The 19,820-nt window shown below is 35.3% G+C and overlaps 1 long non-coding RNA gene across 1 annotated transcript, besides 2 other annotated features; it reads right to left on the reverse strand.

The window, feature by feature from the left end:
- Positions 1-308: 308 nt before the first annotated feature.
- On the reverse strand, positions 309-1,889 carry LOC124907769 (uncharacterized). Its single transcript, XR_007086324.1, has 2 exons — positions 1,737-1,889; positions 309-438 (listed from the first exon to the last, which is right to left on the reverse strand). It is a non-coding gene; the product is annotated as an uncharacterized LOC124907769 (long non-coding RNA).
- Positions 5,768-5,817: a silencer, noted in NCBI's record as "silent region_11505". NCBI's record gives its function as "represses an Ori minimal core promoter by ATAC-STARR-seq in GM12878 lymphoblastoid cells {active_cell/tissue: GM12878}" and the evidence as "EXISTENCE:reporter gene assay evidence [ECO:0000049][PMID:35858748]".
- Positions 8,143-8,192: an enhancer, noted in NCBI's record as "active region_15790". NCBI's record gives its function as "activates an Ori minimal core promoter by ATAC-STARR-seq in GM12878 lymphoblastoid cells {active_cell/tissue: GM12878}" and the evidence as "EXISTENCE:reporter gene assay evidence [ECO:0000049][PMID:35858748]".

Raw genomic sequence — 19,820 nt, forward strand, 5'->3', positions numbered from 1 at the left:
TAGGAAGTCTTTGACCATAAGCCATAATTCTTTTACATTTCTAGATTTCCACCTAGCTGTCTAGTACTGAAAGTTAAATGTTCACAACTGGAGTTTTGGCTCAGCAATTGCTTAACTTTTCATTGCAATACCTCTTCATGGATGTAAAATGGATGGATTTTGCTTTAAAAAATAATACTTTTTTCTTATAGCTTTTTAAAATTATAATTATTTTGTGTCAGAAATATAATTGTACTCCATATTGAAAGGTAACCCAGTGGGGGAATAATTTTGTACAATTACAAAAAGTTTTAATAAAAGACTGATAAGTAAAGTTTTAAATTTTTAATGCATTCTGCAGGCAGTTGAATGCCTTTTGCCGACTCTGTCACTTATCATTAAAGCTGTGTGAAAGGGAGGCCTACCTGTTATACTTGACTTGATTGGCAAAAGTGTACCCTGACAAATAAAAGTGAAAGAGACAAAAGTCAAAATGAAAAAAAAAAAATTAAAAACACTCACAGTTTCATAGCTAATTTAACATTAATGCCTCCCTTTTACCCACAAAAATTTCTTTGTATTTAATATTCTGTTCTTACCTACTTATTAGCCTACCATTGTGACTGTTAAATTCCTGTATAACATACAGCAATAATTCATTTCTGTAAAGGCACATCCAATTTCCAGGGCATGCTTTTTGGCTTAATTTGAAAAAATTACCCTCATTTGACAGAGAAAACACTTTTCAACATGCACAACCTACACATTTATGTGCAAACTAAATCCAAAGAGTGTAATCTATCTAAGCTTTCTGTGATGAAGGCATCATGAGAGCCATCCTGCAAGCTGCACTGAATTTGCTTCAAGGCTACAATTTGACGTCTTCCTACTGGAGTATCATGCTAGTGTTTGATTGTTTGTTTACCCTGGATTCTTCAGATCCTAAACAACCCACCCAAATCTTTTTCAGTTTCTTCAGGTTTGTGTCCAGTGAGCATCAGCAGCCTGCATTCTACTGCACTGTCCACAGACTAGGAAGATTCAAGTTCTGTATTCAGCTCCCTCTGCCCTCTTCAAACTGGCATGGATAATCTTGTGGCAAACATCAAATTGTCACTTGGTTTCATGTGTCTGTTGCCTAATAAGTTTATTTTGGATCAGACTGATTTCCCAGCATATGCTCAAGATAGAATCTTCAAATGATGCAAAGTGGGATTTTCAAATTATGATCCTGAGCATTTTTTTTTCCTTATCCACTTACATGTAATCTAAAAATAAATACCCAGGCTCCAACAGGATATGACAACTTCAGCAAACAAAATTGAAAATAGCTGCCTTACAATAGTCTCTCCCTCCAAATGAAACAGGGGAAAATATACCTTTAGAGAAAAATACAGCGCCTGTTAAGGAACAGACAATCTACTCACAGCAGGTTTGTGAAGAGAGGCACAAGGACATAAACAGCTCAGGATGGGTATCAAGCAAGGAAAAAACCAGCCAGCAATCACTGTGCTGAATCCCGGAAGGGGCGCGGGGAAGTGGTCACAGGTGATTGTCATGTGTGATAATTATTATTACTGTACACCTGCTCCTCCGCACTAATTAACTTTGGATATGCAAATCAATCCTATTGCATCATGCCCGTGCTCTCCTCCCCTACAGATAAGAAGATGTTCAGCTGCTGGATTTAATTAGGATAATGAACGCCAGGCCCACGGTGGCTTGGCAGGGGAGGTGGGGGGGAAGCTGTGACTGACCTTTTCTCCCAAAACGTTGACATTTTCTAAGGCTTCTGAGCACTCGAAGTCACCTCCATGGCTGGGACATTGATAGGAGCGGATTGATGAGGTGTCATTAGAGGAGAGACGCCGTGGCCCCAGCGTTTGCTGGGAGAATACAGCAGGTGTTCTGACAAGGACACACACCATCACTGTTATTTGCCAAACAATTCTCTTGATTCACTAAAGTCAAGCATGCCAGCATTTCTTTATAAAAGAAAACAAGGCTGCTTTTCATATCCACCCAGAGGAGAGGTCATCACTAAATTGCATTTCTGAATTACTTCTCATTTCACATCAATATATTAAAAAGGTTTCTATTATTCCTCTCCCTTCACATCTTCCTTTCCTCTGCACCCCTCCAATCTCCCCCACCCTGCACTGCCCAGAATCCTCATGGCATGGAAGCTGAAAACATTATGCGATAGTAAGTTAAAAGGGGTTAACTTTGTTCATATTAATCCCTATAATTCCATTCCTATAACATAAGGTGACACAAGGGCTTCTGTTATCAAATGGAATGAGAGGGCAAAACGGCATCTTCTCATTTGGATATCTGGCCTACTTGTTTATCAAAAAATTGTTTGCAATTACATATATATATATATTCCTTATTTGAATTTCAAATTCAAAGATATGCATACAAAATAATATGGAGGAACATAGACTCAATACTGTTCTGTTTTTCTCTCTCTGATCATTTACTCAGCTTTAACTTTTTAGCCATCTGTGTGCCAAGCTTTTCCTATATTTTCCATTCTGACAGTGGAGTTTTATGTAGTAATAAAATAATACCACACTATCTCTCTTTTTTCTATTCTCTTAATGTGTTAAATTATAATAGAAGAATAACTTTAGAAACTAGTCAATTTCACAAAGATATGAAATAAAAGCCCCTTGGTGTATCTGAAAAACCAAACTGATCAGAGCCCAACATGAAGGCAATGCTAGAGTTTCATTTCTAGAATGAAGCAGAAAGGTTTCACAAATTACACCTGGATTTAAATAAAAAAGAGTGCGGTATAATTCTGTGTCTATAATCTTGATATGGTGCACATCGCATGAGGTTTCTTCTAAGAAAAAAGCTTTGAGGTGGTTTACATTTGTTTTAGATCCAAGAGATGACTTACTACTCTTTCCTTTTCTCTAAAAAATGTCATTAATACTTGCATAGGGAAGTATTAATTCCTTTGTAAGGAAGTATCACAAATACTAGTATATATTCAAGTAATATGTTAGGGGGTGGAGATAAATTGATCTTTTCTCCAGTACTTTAAAAAATCAGATAGTTAAACCTAGAACTCTAAGATAATATAGAATCTAATAATCTAATATAAAGAAAAACAAGTGCAAGAAAAACTGCTATCTTTTATTTTTTTCCTCTGAGGTATTACAAAGTGTTGGAATTTAGTAATCAGGGTTTATCTCTTATAACAAGATAGTTACTAGAATGTTATAGGTTACAGCTGGTTGCAATATTCCTTATTTTCTTATTATACCCCTTTCATAATGAGGTTTCAGCATACACTGTTAGTTAACATTTGGCAAGGTACAGCTTTAGAGGTTCCACACATAAGGCTATCAGCAAGGAGCAGGATGTGTCATATAAAATGGGAGTGAACATTTGAAGTTTGCTTGTGTTTCCTTAAAAAAAGAAAGCTAGAGAGAAAGCTCTAGATCAATCATTTTATCATTTGGCTTATTAATTGCTACTTTATTTAGACTGTCTCTGCAATTACTAGTAAAGGTTGTCTCTTCCTGCTCCTTTATCTCTCAATCATGTCTCTTCAGTTCTGCACCTTCGGATATAAAGCTCCCACAGCTCTACCTAGAAATATTTTGGCTAGCTCTGTCTCCCCTCCCCAGCTTCAGTACTTCTCTACAAAAGCCTGTGAAACTGATTTCATTAAGAATATTCTCAAGTATGTTGGCATTTTTTATTGCAGCACTTGTTCATTATCAATCTCAGAACTAGAGAAGTAGAATTGTTGAACCAAGAACCTGGACTCTGAATCTTCAGGGAGGCAATGTCTGACTGCGAAGAGCAGAGCAGCTGAAGGCTCCTTCCCCAGCTACAGACACCTCTAGACCTTGACTCCTTAGACAAGAGGCGCCAGTGGTTTCACAGATCTATGTGCTTAGTACAAAAGGAAGAAAAGGCCACCACCACCTCAATACGACTGCAGGAAGTCATGGTAGAGGTTCACATCCAAAGAGACCACATTAAACCAGGATTTAAGAAGTTAGAACTCAAAAGTCTTACTTTCAAGTCACAACTTTGATTTGGGAGGTCCACTTAAACCTCACATTAACTTTCTCTCTTTGTTTTATCTTGCTGGCTATGTATCCTTGGGCAAGTTCTTTTCTTGACCTCCCTCAACCCCAGGCTCCTCATTACATCTATAAAATGAGGATAACAGTACCCCATCAAATTTTGGTGAAGATTAAATGAGATAATAATGTGTATGTGGTTCATAGTATTCAAGTTTTTCTAAAAAAAAAATAGACTTTAGTGACTTTCTTCTTTTTTAAATTTTTTATTTTTAGTTATTATGAACACATAATAGTTGTATATATTCACAGCGTACATGGGATATTTTGATACAGGCATACAAAGTATCAAGGTAATTGGGGTATACAGACCTCAAGCATTTGCCATTTCTATGTGTTAGGAACATTCCAATTTCACCCTTTTAGTAATTTTAAATTATATAATTATTGTTAACTATAGTCACCGTATTGTGCTACTAAATATGAGATCTTATTCATTATATCTAACGTATTTTGTACCTATTAACCATCCCCACTGCATATGGGCTTCCCTGCTTTCTTCCCACCCTCTCGTAAGCACCAGTTCTATTCTCTATCTCCGTGAGTTCAATTTTTTTTTCTTTTTTTTTTAGCTCCCACATATGAATGAGAACACGTGATATTTGTCTTTATGTGTCTGGCTTATTTAACCTAACATAATGCCTTCCTGTTCCATCCATTCAACTCTTAATAAATGTAAGAAATATTACAAGAGTGTCTAATAACATAGTATATACGATGTGTGTTTGTGTGTGTATAATGAAACCAATCTAGTGGTATTTTTCAAAACTGCATACCTATGTGTATATCTTATCAGGGAATTGTGAGCATTTTTAAGCTATTGCTTGTAAGATCCTTTGGCACCTCTCTTTGGGCACAGTGCTTTGTGTATTACTCTTTGAATAGGAGAAATATATTTATTATACATAATCATCATCTCTTTTTTTCTACCAAAAAGATCATAATAGCTAGAATGCTGGATACAAATATAAAAATTGAATACTAGGTCCCTGTGATCATTGCAGTTGCATCTTTTCTGAATTTAAGAGCATATATGTTAAATCCTTCAATCTGAGAAATTTAAGAATGTATCTAATGAACTTTATAAATAGAAATCTAGGAGTATTCTAGATACTTTTTGCATACAATTTAAGCTCAGTAATACAACCTATTGATTATTTGCTTTGATTTTTATTTTACTATTTGACCAAAGCAAGCAGAAACCTATGACTTTTTAGACTTACCCTATTTTAGGCTACAAATATATTACCCACTTTTGGGCCGACATAGTCAATATGAAATCTGTCACAAGATAAAATGAAATCCTCTGTATTTTGTGGTGGAGACATCATGGATTAGACTTAGGGTCAGAGGACCTGGGCTGTCATCGTGGCTTAGTTCTGAGCATACTATGTGACCTCTTGTGAACCACTTCACTTTGCTGAATGTCACCTTTCTTTTGTATGAAATAAGTTAGACTAGATCAGGGCTTCTCAATTCTTTCATGTGCATACTAATCACCAGGAGATTTTGATAAAATGAAGATTCTGATTAGTGGGTCCAGGGTGGGGCCTGGGATTGTGCATTTCTAACACGCTCCCAGGTGATGCTGATGCTACCAGTCCACAGGCTGCACTTTGAGTAGCAAAGGACTGCATATGTTCTTGGACAACTACAGTATTATTTTGGGTTTCTATAAGGTTATCCATGAGAAAGCATGTCATAATGGCCCCAAACAGGGATCAGGCACAGATAATCACTAACAGAGTGTCTAATACTTTACAGTTAGCAAAGTGCTTTCACATCCATTGAGTCATCCTAGCATTTCTGAGAGGAACCTAAACTCAAAAATGTTGAATCACTGGCTCAAGATCACACAGTCACATGGTCAATATGTGGCAAAGCCCAGGGTCAGATGTGATCTTCATCTCAGTTAGCTGTGCTCACACACAACCATGATTTCCACTGTCACCTTTGTGCTCAACAGGCCCCCAAATGCATCAAAGCCAGAGAAGACCTTACAGCCTAATTTCATTTTATACACAGCCATATAATTATTTATTTATTTAAAGTGATCTAAATATTGATCAAATCTAATGTTTACCTGTTAGAGCTGATTTAAGACTTCTATTTTCTTTCACATCTTTCAATTATTTTTCTGCTGCATCCTATTAATCAAGTACAGAAAAGCCTCTCAGACCAGCATGTGCATTTCCAGTTTCAATTGCTACAGTACATGAGTTCTAGATCTTAAAGGCCAAAAAGCATCTATTTGACTAAAGAGCTATAAGGCAGCCATAAAAATTATGGATCACAGAAATAAGCAATTAGTGTTATCTTCAATTGCTTTATTGGCAGTATTCACTCGTTAGAATAGAGGCAGCCGTAAAACAGATTGCAACATACTGTATAACAGCATATGGGATTTTACATTATAATGCTATTCTCTGCCAAGAAGTCATATTTTCATTTGAATGCATGGAACAGATTATCACAGGGTTTCCAGCATTAGAAGTGGATGACCCTCACATTTTTGTAGTTGTTGTTAAAAGGCAATTCCTGAAGTTATGACTAAATCAAAATAAATGCAATGGTGAATAGGGCTGTGTTACATGTCTGCATTCTGGGCCTTTAGAGACTGGGCATGGCATGGAGCTACAGCAGATAATAAAGTCAATCTCTAACGTGGTGGATAGAGGGAGAGTTGAGGGTTTGCCAGTCTTCCAAACCAGCTGGCGTCAATTCTGGAGGAAGCTGCTCGCCCGCCCATCTCATCATAGCTGAAGTGCCACAAAGGACACCGCTAGAATAGGGGATAGAAATAAAACAATAGGAATAATAATATAAAAAGGAACAGGATCTTTATTTAATATTGGGAGATGTTTCCTTGACATCCATTCTTGCCTTTTTTGCAGAACGTGTATGTGGATGTGTTTGTATATTGCAGATAATGTACATACAGGCCTTCAAATATACATACTCTACAACATGTTTTAACAGGCCAAGATGTCAGGAATCACCCACAGGCCTTCAGTTCAAGAGATTCTCCATTCCCCCACACACTTTACACTTTTTTTTTATAAGTTTCAATATGGTACACCTGGAAATAGGGCTAAATGCTTACTCCCCCATTTCAACAGTTCAAGTTGGAAAAAAAGTAGGAAAAAGTACATCTGACAGGTTCTCTTTCCAAGATCAGCCTGTGATGTAGCAAATGAAAGGCTTTGAAAGGCAGGATTGCTGAAAAGGAAGCTTGTGTGGTTTCAAATTAGAAGTCATATTGTTGCACTCACAGTTGATCAAATAAATATTAATCACCAAATGTATTTATGTCACTTCTCACGCAATTGCAATATATTTTAAATGTGTTTTTAAATGGTGGATAAAACACACTGGAAGGGCAAAAAAAATCTTTTTTATAGAACCTCAGATACAAGGGAGCTAGAGGCATATGTAGTAATTTACCAGAACAAAGGAATATGTTTGAATTAGTTTCTCTGCGCGTTGCTGCTATTTATTCAGATCTAGTAAAATCCAGATAATTTGATAAAGTCTTCAGAGTCCATGTGTAATGAAATCGTGTCGAAAGTAGACTTTAATCTCATGTAATGTTTCAATGAATTCTTGTATTCACCTAAGTAATTTTTCTAATCTTAATTCTGAAAATTATATAATTGTAAAAAAACTTTATTTTAAAAAAAGATTATCTTAAATGATTACAGAGGCAATAATAATGTAAAACAAAATATAACAGAGCTGCCCCTTTCTATATCCTTTGGTTACTTGGAGTAACATTTTCACTCAATTTTCACAATACTTATGTTTAATAATCTTTTTCTTTCCTGCATAAAAAGATTTAGTGGAAAGAGTAATCAGACTGAAAATGCAAGCATTTTGCAATGTAATCCTGCCTGTGCTATTTACTAGCCCCTATGGCTTTTGTACATTGTTTAAATTCTGTTTCAGCTATCATGAATTTATTTGTTAAGTTGTATAATGACCATAAAACTCACAGTCTCCTTCCAAAGTGTGCTTGAAAAAAAATTTCTTTATAAGTATTTCTTGAGTGGTTAGAGTAATTTCTCGTGAATGACTATCTTGTCTTATTTTTAGAGTGAGGAAAGTTTGTAGTTTCCCTGGAGCCAGACAAGGGGACTTCTTCAAAAACTCAAAATGAAAACAGGAACCAAAGCAGAGGATAGTTTATACTTTGAGAAAATGCATGCTGACAGACTGAGAGTGATCACCAATGTATCGCGTACAGTGAAACATCTGCCTTTTTTTTCAGCAGTATTTTCCCCAAGAGCCAACCAGTTTTCTTAATTTGGCAACTCTTGTGGTCCAGGCCTTACTATTGAGGTGACCCTATTATATAGAAATGTTCAGAAGTAAGCTCTTCCTGGGGTTTATGAGATAGCAAACTGAAGAGACTACATATTTTGTAAATGTCAATGAGTATGTGTGTGTGTGTATAGATCTTCACCAAAGAAGGTCTTACTGAGTCAGACAAGAGTGATACTAAAAGCTAATAGGGAAAATCTTTTTTATTTATTTATCTTGTCATGAAGTGATGTTACTTAATTCAGCATTGTTCAGAACAAAGCAAAAACGAATAGCATCTTGCTATATAATGACTAGTTTTTCCTTTCCTTGCAATAAAGTTAAGCATTTAAAAAAAAAACCCACAAGCATCTCAAATAGCCTCTGCTTTGCTGCAAAAATAGACTGTAATGAGAGTAACTCTTCCAATCAATTATGCAGCACGGTTTTAAGTGAAGAAAAAATTTCAACATACGTATCACTTCAAAATATATACAGCACATATCTATATGTACAAACTGCGTAAATTTTGAAGGGCTACGAAGCACATATTTTGCTACACCAAAGCTCTGACTGTTAAATTGATTGCGACTAAACTATAATTTCTTTTGCTGAAAAACCGGAGCAATATGAATCTTACTGGGATTATTTAAACTTAGTGGTGTGTATATACATCTACATGTGTGTGGGTATAAACAACAGGGTTTCTACAAATTCTCTTCAGTAGGCTCAGCAGTAACTACTCTTCTATAACTAAAATATTGCATTGAAATTGTCTCCTGTAAAAGTGATAATGCTAAACAAACATACTTCAAATTCCACAGTCTACACATGTGGACTCTGAGCCCATTCCACATAGGGGGTTGCTTAGTGTTGTTCACACATGTTTAAATACATGTAGGGTTCATTAAGAGTGTCCTTTAAGAAGATCCTTTTGGAAGAATAATTTGCCACATTAGCTAAAACAATGTACCTTGGACTTTTTCTTTTCTATATACACGCTGTATACATATACATTATATATATATATATATATATATATATATATATATATATATATTCATTTTGGCTGAATTCAGGAATGAGTCTGTGGGCTGAACGAATCGATCTGTCACAGAGCAACAGATTGCAGCTATAGACTGCCAACAAATCACAAGCAACAGTAGGTAATGACTAATTGTAACAGGAATGAGGGAACAGAGGGTGAGGATTGTTTCAGAAAAGGTAACAGGAAAAATGATCCTTTCCAAATGAAATCAAACATTTTTTGTTTTGATATTGGTTATTACAAAGTCACATACCAAACACAACACCTTCACTTTTCTCAGTGGTTCCTAGTGACGCTGGTCAATTTGGCAATTTCTAAGAGATTTGCTAATTCTCCATCATAGGTTCCCTTTTTTGTTCCTTTATTGCTCATTAACACTATTATATGAAGCATCTTTGAGGTTGCTCAATGAATTATTATTTTAACACAGTCTTTGAAGCAGTACAGCTAAGACTTACAGGAAACCTTGACTACGACTCCTACTTTGTGGCAATAAATAGACAACATGATCTTGGGGGAAAAAAAAAGAAAGAGATTCATGAAAATTTACAAAGTCTAAGAAACAGAATAGGCATGAACAATCATATCCATCTCACTTATTGGTTAGAATTTTGTGATTTTTAATTATCTATTCAATCTTGCTTCCTCAGACTTTCACAAAATACTTTTTTCTAATTATCAACATACAAAAACATAAATTTGTTTATAACTAAAACTTAACCTTCTAAAACTTTAATCTATTAAATTACTCAGAGTTTGAAGCACTGAGAGGAGTTAAACCCTGCACTAAGGTTCAAATGCTTTGGGGACTTTCCACAAGTTTTGCTTTACTGCAATGAAAATTAACAAGATTTTCTGTGTAGTTGAGACATAAGGATTTTGTGGCTCTCTATAATTGTGGAGATTACAAAGCACATTTTATATATAATATACATAGTTTTAAATGTCACTTATTTTGTTTAAATTTAAACATTTAATTGCAGCCAATATGAGACTGTCCTTACATGTATTTCAAATTTAAGATAATGATTTTCTTAACTTGATGTAGGCTGTTACCCCAATCTTCAGGTGATACAACCCATTTTGTCTCACTGGTATTTTAATTCCTAAATTCCCTGCTTTCTATGAACACATTTGAACATCAGAATTCATGTCTACTTGATATTTGAATCAAACATTCTGTGTCTCCCCATTATTCACAGAATAAATAAGTGAGGGAAGCTAAGGACTACTCTCCTTTCTCAGACATCAATAGATGTCCCTAAACCAAATTCTCAATAAACTCAACTCTTCCTGTGTTAGAAAAGAGCAGTTCCAGAGTGTCAAGTTGAAAACTTAGCCATTAAAGTAGAAACATAAAAAAGAGAAAGCATAATTTGCTGAAATAAGTATCAGAACCAGATTTGATAGGAGGAGAATGAGTAATAATGGTGAACAATGAACTATAGATCCTTGAAGCAATGTACAGGAGGAAGAGGAAGAAACTAAGGACAAATGAGATGGCACAAGGGCAACAATTTAGTGAGAGGGACCAGGAAATATAATAATAAAAACTAGAAACTTTGACGAAAAGAAGTAAACCTATAGCAGAAGCCAATAAAGCTCAAAGAGAAAATCAGAATTAGATTCAACATCATTTAAAATAAATCTTCCCCCTATTTTTCCAAAGGTTCTGATTCTTGAATTCTAGTAAGTAGCCTAGCCTAAATCCTAGTTGATTAGGGATGTAGATTTGGAATCTCCCATCTGTTCCTGAGGATCACATACATATAATTGGTGTGCACCTAAACCATTCTTTTGGTTTCAAGCTTCAGGATATTTTGGACAAAATGTATACATATATTAACATCTTGATAATTGAAAGTCTGCTAAAGCTATTTATATGATCATAAAACTGTTTGAAACTCTCAAAGGGCAAGCTGCAGACAGCTTCACGGCCCAGGTTTCATCACAGGTGCATCCCATTATCACCTATATCCTTTACATTGAAACACCAAGAAAGGGCCTAGCCACCCGACGGCGGCAATCCACTCTGGCCAGCATTTACATCTCAGGTGATGACAGAGATATTGTGATTAGCGAATGCCAGCACAAAAAGCCAAACACCATTGTTAAAAACAGAAGCCAGTTCACTAGGTACAACAGAAGCACTAGTGGTAATTTTCAAGAATTGATGAAACTACCAACTGAAGTATATTCATTTAATCATTCAATCATTTCATCATTCATCCATTAAATATTTATTGGACACCCCAAGTTCTTGTTTGAGGTATTATATAGTCCTACAGCTTTGGTGTCTTAGTATCATAATATGACACATATATTGGTGAAAATAAGCCAGTACAAAACAATAACAATTATGAACCATATCATCACCTCTTTACTCCATGTTCTGGCTATGCCTGGCCTTTTATGTGGGCCATGTTTATAACTATTTCATATATTTAAGTAATTTAAGTTGAATCCTTTGCTTATGCATAACTATTTCACTGATAGTCAAACTATAACATGTGCGATTTCTTGAAGCATTGCTCTCAAAATAAAAATATTTCCGGATATGTTGCACCTTAATGTGAGTGAATAACCTCTTGATCCCACCACCAAAAAAATAAAAAGGCTAGCATGAAAAGATTGGAATATTAGGAATAAATGGAATAAGGCCCTGAAAAGAACAGAATGGGAAATAGAAAACAAGGGATGACTGTGTTTAGGGTTATCCTCTCTTCTGCCACAGGAAACATAAAACATTTCAGATCTGAGTTAATTGGTTAATTTTTCCTATTATTTGTCTTGCCTAAGTTGCAAAGTGAGATTTTCCATAATTTCATGCTGTAATTTAGTATCTAATCCTTTCAATTCACGATTTTATAAATTTCAACCAAAATGAAGAATCTCCACTTCTGTGTTCTGTCTCCAAACAACTCTAATGGTGCTACCAAGATGGAGATCCAGATTCCACAATGTCCTGGGTATGCCCTTTATTCCATTTGCTCTAGGTTCACTACTATGCTTTCGAGGTGTTTTAACCAGAACTGCATTTTCACTTACTATATCGATTTAAGTTCACACATACAAAATATTTATCACATAGATGAGATACATATTAACATCATTATTTATCCCTATACCCACAAAAATACTTTCCTCATAAAATTAACTTATCTCAAGAGTCGTCAATATTATTCCCATGCATTAAGATAAAAATTATTTTAAATTGGTAACTATTGTACTTTCTATCCATGATAAGTCAACTATGAGCACAATCTGTGGCGGATTTGGGCGAATAAGCCACCAAAATAACAAGTACTTATCAAAAACCTGACTATATTTGATGTAAACTATATTTTATTTGATGTAAAATAAAAATTAGTAATTCAGCTGCTTGCTTTCTAAAATGAGGTTGTTTATAAATGTTAGGTAGCTGACGAAATAATCATAAAAAAAGAATGACCATCCCTTTGAAAGGCCCATGTAAAAACAAAACAAAGCCAAGCCTCAAATTTAGTCACTACAGACAAAATTTGAACTTTCCTTTGAGCCATATGGATTTAGACAGAATCAGAGCAGAATTGAGCATTTCCTGGGAAAAGTTACCCAACCAACCCCTACCGCTCCCCTTGGCCACCTCAAAATCATAGCTGGTGATCTAAAACTGCAGAGAGAAGTAGGTGATGGCCTCCAGGTTGCTACTGAGAGTAATTCTCACAGCATTCCTAGGTTCCCCCCTTGCTTTTCCAGAGAGGACAGTGGCTCTTAAACCCAATTTTGTATGCATGTGGTTCCTTCCAGTTTATGCTGCAGCAGATCTGACTTCTCTACTCTAAGGAGCTGTCCTTAGCCATTGCGACCTCAGTTCCTGCAGGTGACAGTATGGCTTTCTGCTGATTTATTAAAAATCTCCCATTTTATGGCTCCTGTGTACTCTCTGGGGTGTGATCATGTGACCAGTATAATGACAATCTGTCTCCCTGCTAACATTTCTCTACTTTGGTTATTTGTTTGATAAAGTGAGGAGCTTCCCTTTTGTTGCCCTTCATCAGAGCTTAATGTCTTTACTTTGGGATCAATATACTTTATGAATAATTTTATTTCCTTCTATTTTTATGGTCTTTTCTCCTCATTATCATACTGAGTTTATTAGCTGGTGCTGTCAGTATCTTTACCCTGTCATATGTTCCTGAGGTACAGTAAATATCACTTGTGTTGTAATTAATATGCACACCCTCTGCAGTAATTAAAGTACAGACCCCTTCAACCAGCTGAGCTTCCTACACTAATTCCACCTTATCTTCATAATGAACTTATTGTAATCTGAAACTACTACTGAATATTGTTCAGTAAGACTAGAAGAATGAAATCTAACGAGATGCAATAATATTTGTGAACATGTTAATATAAAAAATGAATTTAATTAGCCTAAATCTAATTAAATTTCCCATACAATTAAAAGCACCCCCCTTCTTTCCATTTTTTAAAAACTAACAAGTTTCATACTATTGCCCTTTCAGTTATTTCTACAAAGAAGCAGGCTGGACAAATGCTTTTTCCCCATAAAATACACAGAGGAAGACCTACAGAATCCAGAAATTGTGTCATTACATAGTGGAAAAATAGCTGAGTCCCTCTGAAGAACTACTATGTGAAACAGAAAACTTGCAAGAATTTTTGAACAAACCAGAAATCTGACCCTTCTAAAAAAGTATTGAACCAATTTGCCAGTTAAAGCTATATTTTTAAAATATTTAATACCATTTGTACATTTCAGATGCACAGTCCCTGTCCCCAAGAAACTTATGTATTTTTTATTGCATATAGTTAAGATGTACAACATGATGTTTTCATATACATATACATAGTGAAATGATTACTATAGTCAAGTAAATTAACATATCCATCATCTCACATTATTACTTTTTTTGTGCGTATGTGTAAGAGCACCTAAAATCTTCCCTCTTGACAAATTTCCAGTACGCCATAGAACATTATTAACTCTAGTCTTCATGCTGCACATTAGACCACTACACTTAATCATCCTACATTACTGCCACTTCTTACCTACATCTTCCCATTTCTTACTCTACCCTTACCTCAGGTAACCACTTTTCTACTCTTTGTCTCTATGTATAGTACTTGACTTTTTTTTTTTTTCAGATTCCATATAAAAGTGAGGCCATGCGTTATCTTTCTTTCTGTGTCTGGCTTATTTCACATAGCATAATGAAGCAGTATTTTGATGAAGGAAATACACATTTAAATTCAGCAGGTATTTATTGGACATCTTCTAGAAAGAACACAGACACTGGATGGTATAGAATTTCTAAGCAAGATGAAAAAGGGAAAGTCTATAACTAAATTTGCACCTTAATAGACAGGAGAGAGACCATTTTTTGCAGGGCACTGGCTGGTGCTCCAGATATTCAGTTTTGCTGGAGAAGAGGGTCTGTGTGAGTTAGGAATACAATAGTTCCCTGTGCCACAAAAGACTAAGTCAAGATACATAATTGGCACAAAGGAGAAACATGATGAGGAACTGCATGCACGTTTAATATTACACTTACCTTGTCACAAAACATTTCAATAAGGAAAGTGAGTGCTTAAAGTGCAGACCCACAATAGGCAGAGAGCTGGCAAACGAGTCTGAAAATTGGGTGAAGGGAGAGACATGACCACAACAGTGCCAATAAATGAGATTATTTCAAGGTGGAAAGAGGTTACCAGTAGGGTAGAGCCCTGCTTTTTAATTATTCACAGTAATGACTTGGATCTTGAAGTGAAAGGAATCATTTCCAAGATTGTAGTGCAGGCAGCACAGTACTCAGGACTGGTAGAACACACACACACACATACACACACACACACACACACACACACAGATCTACAACTTCCTGAGAATTTAAAAGTGGTTTAGTGGTCAAAACATCTGACAATTAAGACAGAACATTTACTCTACAGTTGTTGTTTTTTGTTTTCTTTAAAACCACCCCTGTTTATAGGAGATGAAATTTGTATGACATGTTACCTAACGGATTACTTGGAAGGAGGTCACCAAGTGATGTCATCCTTGCAGTGGCAGAATCCAAATTCCACCATACCTGGCACCTATCTGGCACTCTCAGAGAAATGATGGATTGGCTTCCCAAAAAAATCAACATCTCCTTCCCTACTGGACTTGATATGAACATAATTGGGAAAGAAGGCAGAAGCAGATAGGGCAGCATCCTAATTTAATACTATAAAATTATTAGCAGTCTTGCCTTCAGATATGAGAGGTCTTTGGACAGTGTTGCCCACCGAGACCCCCACCACCAATTCTAATGCCAGACATCGATTCTCTCCTTTTTTCATCCTGAGCCTCTAGTTAGAAATTACACTTTTCTTTTTTCTTAATGCATTAAGTATATAAAAATGTGAGAACCTAGAATCATCTCATGCCATTTCTTAATATAATAAAATGAAGAAAATATGAATTGTATGTCAATTATCCCAGTCAGAAGACACAAGAGTCCTAAGTAGAAATCTGATATAGTCTAGGGAATTATCCAAAAAAGCAAACTTCCAATATCTCTTCATAACATCAAGCTTCAGCAAAAAAAAAAAAAAAAAAAAAAAAAAAAAAAAAACACAAGTAATATGCTGAGATGTATTGCTAAAGCTATGTATTACAAATCTAAGGAACTAAAATAAAGTTAGACATTCTCTAGAAGAGTGCTCACTATATTTTAAGGAAGATTTAAATGTACTTCAAAAGGGCGTCATAGAGAAAACTGAATGATACTTATACCAAAGATAAATTACAAAGAAAATATGGACTGTTTTGCTGCTAAAAAATAAAACCAAAGTAGATGTCATCTATGATACCTGATAGGAACTATGTTTTTTAATGTTGAACCTGACCATCAAAAGGCAACCTAAGCAGAAGGAAATCTAATAGGAATGAGTGGAGACCCTAAAAGACATACTTTAAAAATTCCTCTTTGATCAAGTCTTAGTTAAGAGTGGCTTCTGAAAATAATTAAACCCAGAATGTCAGCTCATTTACAGTGAAGGCAAGGCATGAGTGTACTTGTGTATGTGTGTCTGTTTGTCTGTGTATATATATTTGTATACATGAAAAGGCAAAAATTCAAGCTCAGAAAATTAAGTAATGTGAAATTTCGTTTGGTATACTTTTCTAGTATATTAACTAAAAATACAATCAGGTGTATTTATATTTGTATATTGTAAATTTAAGTTTATTAATTTACATTTGTTCATCTTCAAGCTTTTTGTTCAATTCACTTTAGGACCTATGCCTAATGCAAAAGAATAGTCTCAAAGGGCAGCAAACTTTCTAAAAATTAACATCACTCTTGCTCATGAATTATTTTTGAAGGATGGTTTTCACTTTAGGCAAATATTTTATGACTCATGATTTATTTTACATACTCAGAATAGTTTGGGAGAAATGATACTGTATATACATTACTGTACTACTCTACAAATTATATGATAGTATTTATAACTCAGTGGATGCTTTCTTGGAAAGCAGATATACTTTTACTTGCTCAATGGTGAGGTTAGTGACAAAGTCTAGGAACATAAGTAGAAGAGAGTTCTATGCATGATTTGTACACCTGTGGGGTGTGTGGGGTGTTCCACTTTAAACCACCATTTGGTGACATACTTTTGACTGAATAACAACTTTTTAGCAGGCCGGATTCATAAGGAACATGTCATTAAGAAGGGTTTCATAGTGAGGCTCATGATGCCTTCTTCTGTCCCTCTGATCAGTTTATGTACTGTACCATTGGCCTCTTAACATTACTCCGTTAAAACAAAGAATAAAACATGACAACTGAAGGATAAATGAGATGGAAATAGATATAGAACATTCTAGAAAGCTTATATGCAAGAAATTCTTGAAAGAAGACATTAATGAGAAAGAGAAAGTTTGAAAAAATGGAAAAGCTAAGCTATTCTAGTTGTGTGTATACATATATGTACTGTATATATTTTCATTCAAAATATATATTCTCATTATATATGTGTATATATATATACTTATTCTTTAATAACTTAATACTACTGACGTGTATAAAATGCAAACAGCAATGTTTACCCCCTCTTCTTTCCAGAATTATGGAAATGAGTTTAACAATGTATACAAACACTTTACTAAATGTTAGTATTGTCACAATTTTCTTCTGCAGTTATCACTTTCCTTTGGTTATAAAAGCCTTAATTGTGTTACCATATGTAAAAGCAAAACCAGAAACTCCAGTTTGCCATCCTTTTATTTTCCAGCTTACTGAATGGGATTCTAAAATTAAATTTCAATGGCTTGCAAAACTCCTCTCTCAAAATAACACAGAAGTGATTGAAGGCATTTTTAGCTACACCTGCTCAACCACTAATTTAATGAGAGAATGCCTTAGAAATTGCAACTGGTAAATATGACCATATTGTTGGTATGAACTAAGAGATATCTCACAGTACAGGTAGCTCAAGTGGAGCCAATCTTTACTTATACTCTGATTCATCCAGCTTTCTTCATAGCTAGCTTCTGTTTCAAATAAGGAACATGCAGAACTGCTCGTTGAGTGCTCAGCATATTCAGACGTTCCTTCTTAGTCATGTGTTGAGGAATGGAATGGTGAAGGGCTAGAAAAATTACCCCGCCATGTGCATTCGGCATTAAGACAGAGCACCCGAAGATGAGCCAGAGCAAATATGTTAATCATAATTCTATATTACACGATTCCTTCCACCCAGTATTGTGTGGAGATATATGTATATATATACAGTAATGTTGTTGAAGCCACCATGGGAAAGGAACCAGATATTTGTTTTTAAGCATTATAGGCTTTATGCCTGAATTTTATAAATGAGGAGGTTACCTGTGTGCCTTTAAGAAAATACTGAGAAACTTTTCTGTGCCTCAGACAGAAAATATAAATTGTGAACTTATTTAATGGCTATACCTTCCAAAGTAGAACAAAAAGAGAGAGCTATTGAGGTAACTAAAACAAAGTAAGAAATACGGCAAAAAAAGAGAAAAATACTTTTCCCCAGGTCTGAATCCAGCAGCTGAGAACACACGAAGGAGATGAATGAACTGAAATGGTATTTGCGGTAGAAGAGATAGATGCTGAGCTGTTACTTCTTGTGATGCTATGAGGTATTTATAACAACAAAAGACCCTCTTGAAAATAAAATCAGCATCCAGTTTCTCAGCAACAAACAACCTTCAGACGCCACAAGCAGTATACTACCTTAAACACTAGTGTATCCTACAGATGTTACTAATTACTTCAGTAAAATTTTATATTTTATTTATAAGCTGCGTCTACATTCGGATGCTACTTTCAGACTATTATTTCTCTTAATAAGCTCCTTTACCCTTATCTATAATAATGAAGGTAAACCTGGAGAAAAATATTTTTCCAGCCTGTGTCTCCATCCTAAAATTCGAATCAAATCATAGCATATAAAACTCCTTAAGTTTGAAGTGTGGTACTTAGTTTTTAAAAAGGAAATATTGGCCGGGTGCAGTGGCTCACGCCTGTAATCCTAACACTTTGGGAGGCTGAGGTGGGCGGATCACGAGGTCAGGAGTGGAGACCATCCTGGCTAACGCGGCGAAACCCCGTCTCTACTAAAAATACAAAAAATTAGCCGGGCGTGGTCGCAGGCGCCTGTAGTACCAGCTACTTGGGAGGCTGAGGCAGGAGAATGGCGTGAACCCGGGAGGCGGAGCTTGCAGTGAGGTGAGATCGCACCACTGCACTCCAGCCTGGGCAACACAGCAAGACTCTGTCTCAAAAAAAAAAAAAAAAAAAAAAAAGGAAATATTAAAAGTAAGTTTTTTTCAATAATGATTTTTTTTATTTTCCAAAGAGTATCACGGAGTTCACTTTTCTCATTAAAAAATAATAATATGCATGTAGTGTTTGACATTTCCCTTGTGAGCTGCAAAATCTAGAAATCAGGGGACATTGCTGAAACATCTGTTATTTCACATTTTCCATTGAATGACTTCCATGATCAGATGGACAAAAGACAATTACTACCATGCTTTTAGTCATTAGAGGTATTACAGTTTCTAGTAGTTGGCTTTTTGATGTTTCTACTGTCTCTTGGTATAGGTATATCCAAAGTGGAACAGAGGTGATAAGTTATCTTAGTCTGCCTGGTGCACCAACTGGTATCATATTGGCCTGAAATATTTTTCTGTATGTCATAAAGCTCTTGGAATTAAGAGATTCTTTGCATGCAAAGTAAAACACAATCTATTGAGTTGTAACTCTGATGAAAAATTTTGCTAAAATCTGAGACACATTATTTGTCAAATAAGATTTTGTGTTCTATGCCATATCAAAGAAACATGTTGACAAATGAAGAGTTAA

Source organism: Homo sapiens, chromosome 2 (assembly GCF_000001405.40).
Source record: "Homo sapiens chromosome 2, GRCh38.p14 Primary Assembly".
Taxonomy (NCBI): domain Eukaryota; kingdom Metazoa; phylum Chordata; class Mammalia; order Primates; family Hominidae; genus Homo; species Homo sapiens.